This window comes from Homo sapiens, chromosome 9, assembly GCF_000001405.40.
Source record: "Homo sapiens chromosome 9, GRCh38.p14 Primary Assembly".
NCBI classification, from domain to species: domain Eukaryota; kingdom Metazoa; phylum Chordata; class Mammalia; order Primates; family Hominidae; genus Homo; species Homo sapiens.
Window position 1 is genome coordinate 114,101,314 of NC_000009.12, and position 7,134 is coordinate 114,108,447.

The 7,134-nt window shown below is 39.0% G+C and overlaps 1 annotated feature.

The window, feature by feature from the left end:
* Window positions 6,726-6,815: a silencer, noted in NCBI's record as "silent region_20208". NCBI's record gives its function as "represses an Ori minimal core promoter by ATAC-STARR-seq in GM12878 lymphoblastoid cells {active_cell/tissue: GM12878}" and the evidence as "EXISTENCE:reporter gene assay evidence [ECO:0000049][PMID:35858748]".

The following is a 7,134-nucleotide window of genomic DNA, read 5'->3' on the forward strand; positions in this document are numbered from 1 at the left end:
GTGATTCTCCTGCCTCAGCCTCCCAAGTAGCTGGGATTATAGGTACTCACCACTACGCCCAGCTAACTTTAGTATTTTTAGTAAAGACAGGGAGGGTTTCACCATGTTGGCCAGGCTGGTCTCAAACTCTTGACCTCAGGTGATCCACCCACCTCAACCTCCCAAAGTGCTGGGATTACAGGCATGAGCCACCATGCCCAACCTTGAAAGGATTTTGATAAAAGTGCAGAAACAGGGGATATGTTGCATGCTGGTCAGTGGGGGCTTGTGCACCAGGCTTCCCAACCTGGGTCAGAATGTGTACATGATTTGATGTCCTTTGAATCACAAATGCAGGAGCAAAGTCCTGGTTCTGTTCTCTAACAGTGAGTGCAAACATCTGCTACCCTTAAATTGAACAGTCATGAGCAAGTTTTTATTAAGCCTCCTCTAGGTGTCAGGCAGGTTTCTAGGCACTTGAGATGCATACATTAGTGAACAAAACAGATAAAAATTCTTGCCCTTATGGAGCTTACCCTCTAGTGAGGTGGGAAAGGCAGATAATAAAAATAAGCATATAAATAACTTACATAGTATGTTAAAAGCTGAAAAGTGCTACGGAAATAGTATCACTCAGTGTTGGCGATGGCGAACAGGTTGTTGTTTATATAGTATAGTCATGGAATACCTCATTGAGAAGGTGACTTTTGAGGAAAGACTTCAAGGACGAATGTGAGTTAGTCATGCAAATATTTGGGGGAAGATTATCCTAGGCAGAAGAATTGTCCGATGCAAAGGTCCTGAGGTGGAGTATGACCAGTGTGTGTTCAAGGAATGGAAGAAGGCCAGGGTGGTTGGAACACAGTTAGCAAGGGAAGAGTGGGAGACAAAAGATCATAAAGGTGGCTGGGTGCAGTGGCTCATGCCTATAATCCCAACACTTTGGGAGGCCGAAGTGGGCAAATCACGAGATCAGGAGTTTGAGACCAGCCTGACCAACGTGGTGAAATCCTGTCTCTACTAAAAATACAAAATTAGCCAGGCATGGTGGCACAGGCCTGTAATCCCAGCTACTCAGGAGGCTGAGTCAGAAGAACCACTTGAACCTGGGAGTCAGAAGTTGCAGTGAGTCAAGATGGCACCACTGCACTCCAGCCTGGGTGACAAAGCAAGACTCCATCTCAAAAAAAAAAAAAAAAAAGAAAAAGATTATAAAGTTAATAGGAGCCTGGTTATGTGCAACCTTGTAGCCCACTTTAAAGATTAAATATAAAGAAATATCTAGCACATCTTAAGCTGCTGAAAACCAAAGACAAAGAAGAAACCATAAAAGCAGCCTTAGGGAAAAAACCATAGCCTTCAAAGTAGCAATAAGAAGACTGACAACTACTTTTGAATAGAAACTATGGATGCCAACAGACAATAGACAGTGTATCTTTAAAATGCTGAGATTAAAAAACAAAAATCAACCTGGAATTATATGTCTAGCAAAAGTATCCTTCACAAATGTAGGTAAAATAGACATTTTTGAACAAACAGAAGCTGAGAAATTCACCTCCAGTTGATCATCACTACAAGAAATACTGAAGGAAATTTTTATATGTTGAATGAGATAGAGCTCAAGGAAAAAATAAAGAGCATGAGAAAGAATAAATATAGGATGTATATAAAATCATTTTGAGGCCAGGCACGGTGGCTCATGCCTGTAATCCCAGCACTTTGGGAGGCTGAGGGGGGTGGATCACCTGGGGTCAGGAGTTCAAGATCAGTCTGGCCAACATGGTGAAACCCTGTCTCTACTAAAAATACAAAAATTAGCCGGGCATGGTGGTGGGCGCCTGGAATACCAGCTACTAGGGAGGCTGAGGCGGGAGAATTACTTGAACCCAGGTGGTGGAGGTTGCTGTGGGCCGAGATCATGCCACTGTACTCCAGTCCGGGTGACAGAGTAAGGCTTTGTCTCAAAAAAAAAGAATCATTTTGACTGTTTAAAAGAAAGTAACACTAACTTTTTGCTACCATTATAATATATATAGAAGCAAACAGACATTACACTAGAATAAAGGATAAGTGGAGTGAATGGAGTTAAACCATAGAATTGTAGCATTGGTTCTTCAATTGTTTGGGAAGTGATAAAAGTACTAACTTAAGGTAGACTGTAGTAGTTCAGGGATGTATAGTGACATCTTTAAGGTAACTATCACAAAAACAAGAGTTAAAACTAAGAAGCTAATAGAGAAAAATGAATTAAAACTACTTGACTGATTCAAAAGAAGACAAAAAATGAGATATAAAGTCACAAAGATGTCGGGTACGGTAGCTCACACCTGTAATCCTAGCATTTTGGGAGGCTGAGACAGGTGGATTGCTTGAGCCCAGGAGTTCAAGAGCAGCCTGGGCAACATGGAAAAAAGCCATCTCTACAAAAAATACAAAAATCAGCTGAGTATGGTGGCACAGGACTGTAGTCCCAGCTACTTGGGAGGCTGAGGTGGGAGGATCGCCTGAGCCCAGGTCAAGGCTGCAGTGAGCCGTGATCGTGCCACTGCACTCCAGCCTGAGCAACAGAGTAAGACCCCATCTCAAAAAAAAAAAAAAAAAAAAAAAAAAAAAAACAAAGAAAGAAAGAAAGTCACAAAGAATAAATGGAACAAATAAGAAACAAATAACAAGATACAATTAAACCCAATTATATCAGCAAGTATATTAATTGTACATGGGCTGGACACTTCAAATAAAAGACAAACATTGTCAGACTGGATACAAGAAACAAAATGTTTCTATATTGAAAAAAATGAAAGCCAACTTCAAATTTAAGAAAAGAAACAATTGAAAATGAAAGAATAGAAAGTTATATCACACCAGCCCTAACCAAAAGAAAGCAGTACAGCCACATTAACATCAGACGAAATGGACTCTAATGCAAGAAGCATCAATAGAGACACTGCGAAGCATTTTATTATATTATGTGATTCAACAGGAAGACATAATAATCTTAAATTGTATTCATCTAATAACTGAACTGCCAGAAGGAATAGACAAATTCACCACCATAGATGCTAATCTCAACCTAACTTTCTCTGTAACTAAAGAACAACAGGTAAAAATTTAGTAAAAATATAGAAGATTTGAACAACACTGTTACCCAACTTGATCTAAATGACATAGACAAAATACTATACCCAATAATTGCAGAATACACGTTCAAATGCACATGAAACATTTTCCAAAATAGATGTTGGGCTGTAAAGCCAGCCTCAACAATTTCGAGTGATCGAAATAATATTGAGTATGTTCTCTGACCATAGAGGAATCAACCTAGAATCAGTGAGGGAAAGGTAACTAGAAAATCCGCCCCCCTCCCCCGCTGCCAAATAATTGGAAATCCAACAAAAATACTTCTAAATGACCTCTGGATCAAAGAATAAATCATGATGGTTATTAGAAAATATTTTGAAATTAACAATAAGGGAAGTAAACTATGTAGTTAAGCAACGCTGAGAAGAAATGCATAAGCTCTGCTTATATTAGAAAAGAAAAAAAAGATTGAAAAATCAGTCACTGAAGTTTCCATCTTAGAAAACCAGAAAAAGAATAGCACATTACACCTAAACAAAGAGGGAAAGAAATTATGCAGCTAATAGCAGAAATGAATGAAACCCATAGCTGACATACAATAGCCAAAACTTGTTTCTTTGATGAGATCAATAACTTGTATAAATGCTTAACAAACTAAGAAAGAAAATAAAAAGAGAAAATGCCAAGTACAAATATCAGAAATAAAAAAGGGACTTTCCTACCGATCCTACAGATATTAAAAGAATAATAAGAGGATATTATGAGTAACTTTATGTCAATAAACCTGAACTTGACCATGTTTGTGAATTCATGAACAAATCACTTAAAAATCTCAATCTCCTAAAATGCATAAGAGAAAAGAGTAGGATATCTGAATCGTTTTATATCTGTTAAACAAGTTGAATTTGTAATTAAAAACCTCCCCGCAAAGGAAACACTTAGCATGGATGGCTTCACCGGGGAATCTTCCAAACACTTAAGGAAGTAATGAAATGAATCTTAGACAAAATGTCATCAACAGAGCCAGAGGGAGAATTTCCAAATTCATTTTTAAAAAAATGAGGCCAGCCTAACCCTGATATCTGATCCTTACAATGACATAATAAGAAAAGAAAACTGCCGGCCATTAGTTCTCCTGAGCACAATTGTTAAGATTCCAAATAATTACTGGCCAATCATTTCAGCAATACAGAAAATGCGTAATACATGTGGATTTAGTCCAGTAACTCAAAAGTTGCTTGAACATTTGAAAGTCAATCAGTGTAATTCAACACATTGATAGAATAAAGGAGAAAATCAAATGGTCATCTCAATAAATACAGAAAAGACATTTGGTAAAATTTAACACTTGCTTATGATAAAAATAAAAGCTTTCAACAAACTAGAAATACGATGGAAATTTATTAATTGAATAAAGGTTCTTTACCAAAAAAAGCTTACAGGTAACATCATATTTAATAATAAAAATAACTTCCTCTTCTCTTACCATCATCCTAGTACAGTAAGGCAGCAATGTATGTAGAAACTGGAAAGAAAGAATTAAGTTAATAAGACTGTCATTTTTCACAGCATACATACATACACAGATGTATAGGTATATAGAAAATTCTTAAGAATCTCCAAAGTCTCTGATACAATGTCAATATGCATATATTATATATTACTTGCTAATTACATATAAAATACACAATTGGAAATTAAAATTTTAACATTTAGAGCAGCATCAAAAAACACAATGTCTTAGAGATAAATTTAATAAAAGGCATTTGAAATAAAATGTGAAAATAGCAAAACATTGCTGTTATTTAGGAAGACCTGAATAAAAGGAGATAATTACTATGTTTATGAATTAGAAGATAGAGTATTGTGAAGATGTTACTTTTCTGCAACTGACATATGTAGATTCAATGCAGTCCCAATCAATATCCCAGCAGGAACTTTTAAAAATGAAAATTGACAAGCTGATTCTAAAATTTATATGAAAATGCGAAAGACTACAATAGCCAAGATAATAATGGAGAAGAGCAAAGTTGGAGGACTTATACTACCAGATACCAAGACTTAATGTAAAGCTACAATAATCAAGACAGTGTGGTATTGGTGCAAAGACCAGCAAATGGAACAGAACAGCCTCCAGCAACGCATCCATCCATATGCATCACTTGATTTATGACAAAGGAAGCGCTGCCCTCAGTTGTGAGAATATTGTTCTTTTCAATCAATTGGGCTGGATTAATTGGATATCCATTTAGGGAAAGAAAAAAATCCTTGATTTCATACCTTACATCATTCACAATATTAATTTAAAATTAATGATGGATCTACATTTAGAAGAAAATCTAGATAATATCTTCCTGACATTGACAGTAGACAAAAGTTTCCTAAACAAGTCACAAAAAAGCACTAAACATAAAAACTATTGATGTATTGGACCACATTGAAATGAAAAACTGTTCATCAGAAGATTGCATTTAAGAGGTAAAAAAGCAAACCAGACTGGGAAAAGTTATTTGCAATACACATATCTGACAAAGGACTTCTATCCAGAATATATACAGAGCTTCTACAAGCCAGTAAGAAAAAGACTAACAACTCAACTTAAAACTGACCAAAAGATTTGAACTGGCATTTTGCAAAATATGATATCCAAATATTTAATAAACATATGAAAATTGCCCAACATAATTAGTCACCAGGGAAATTAAATGAAAACCATAGTGAGATACAAGTACACACATACCAGAATGAAATGAATACAATTAAAAAGACAGGCAGTACTGTTTGTGAACCATTTTCAGAAAACAATTTTGCAGTATCTACTAAAGCTAAACAAATCCCTATCCCATGATCTAGCAATTCCACTTAGGTCTCTGCCTAAGAGAAATGAGTTCAAATATCCAACAAAAGACATATATGAGACTGGGCATGGTGCTTCTCATCTGTAATCCCGGCACTTTTGGTGGCTGAGGCAGGAGGATCACTTGAGCCAGGAGTTCAAGACCAGCCTGGGCAACACGGTGAAACCCCATCTCTACAAAAATTACAAAAATTAGCTGGGTGAGGAGGCTGAAGTGGGAAGACCACTTGAGCCCAGACGTTGAGGCTGCCGTGAACCGAGATGGTACCACCGCACTCCAGCCTAGGCAACAGAGTGAGATCCAGTCTAAAAAAAGAAAAAAGAAAAGAAAAAAAGACATATATGAGACTGTTCATAGTAGCTGTTTAGCCACCTCCTTCATCACCACCACCACTGTTTCTACTTCCATCATCCTCATCATTACCACCACTATCACCATAACGCCATCACCACCATTACCAAAACTCAACCATCACCACCAATACCTATGTAACCAGCAGACGCCATAGTCATTTGGTCACTGCAACCACTGTCACCAGCATCATCAAAATCTCTACCGTGACCACCACCATCATCACTATTACCACGCTTCCATCCTTCGGAGTCTGGGCTTATTCATTCCAGGAAACTAAAGCTGTTAAACTGGGCTCCCAGCCAGCGGCACCCCCATTGACCACGGTGCTCCCTGTTCCCACAGCTAGGGCTGAGTTCCTCTGTGTACCCCCTCTCCTCTTCACCCTGTTTTTGTCTGCAGACTGCATTCCTTCCTCAGGAGCAGTAAGTCTCCACTTCTCCTGACGCGATTGAGGATAGGACAGATGGAAGGCCTGCAGGGACCTTAGCAGCCGGCTGGGCCCCGCAGGGCGCATACCCAGCCCTCGCTAGAGGGCAGCAGAGCACCATGCCCCTGCGACCCGGGTTCATCACAAAGGAAGCTTTGTGGAGTGCAGGCCTGCGCTTTGCAGCTCGCTCCTGAGCCAGTGCCCAGCCCCAGGAGGGGCTGACCAGCTGATGCGTGGTGAGAGACGAGCAGGCCCTCAAGATGCACTCTCCGAGAGAGTGAAGAAAGCAACACGAGTAATCAGGGGGCCCTCCCACCAACCCCCTGCCCCCCGGTCCATCCTCTTCAATCCACTCTCCTCCAGTTAGCCCAGCCATCCTTCCCTGGAAAAACCCTGCCCTGGCTTACTCTCGGGCCTCTGAAGAGTGTCTGAGCTCCC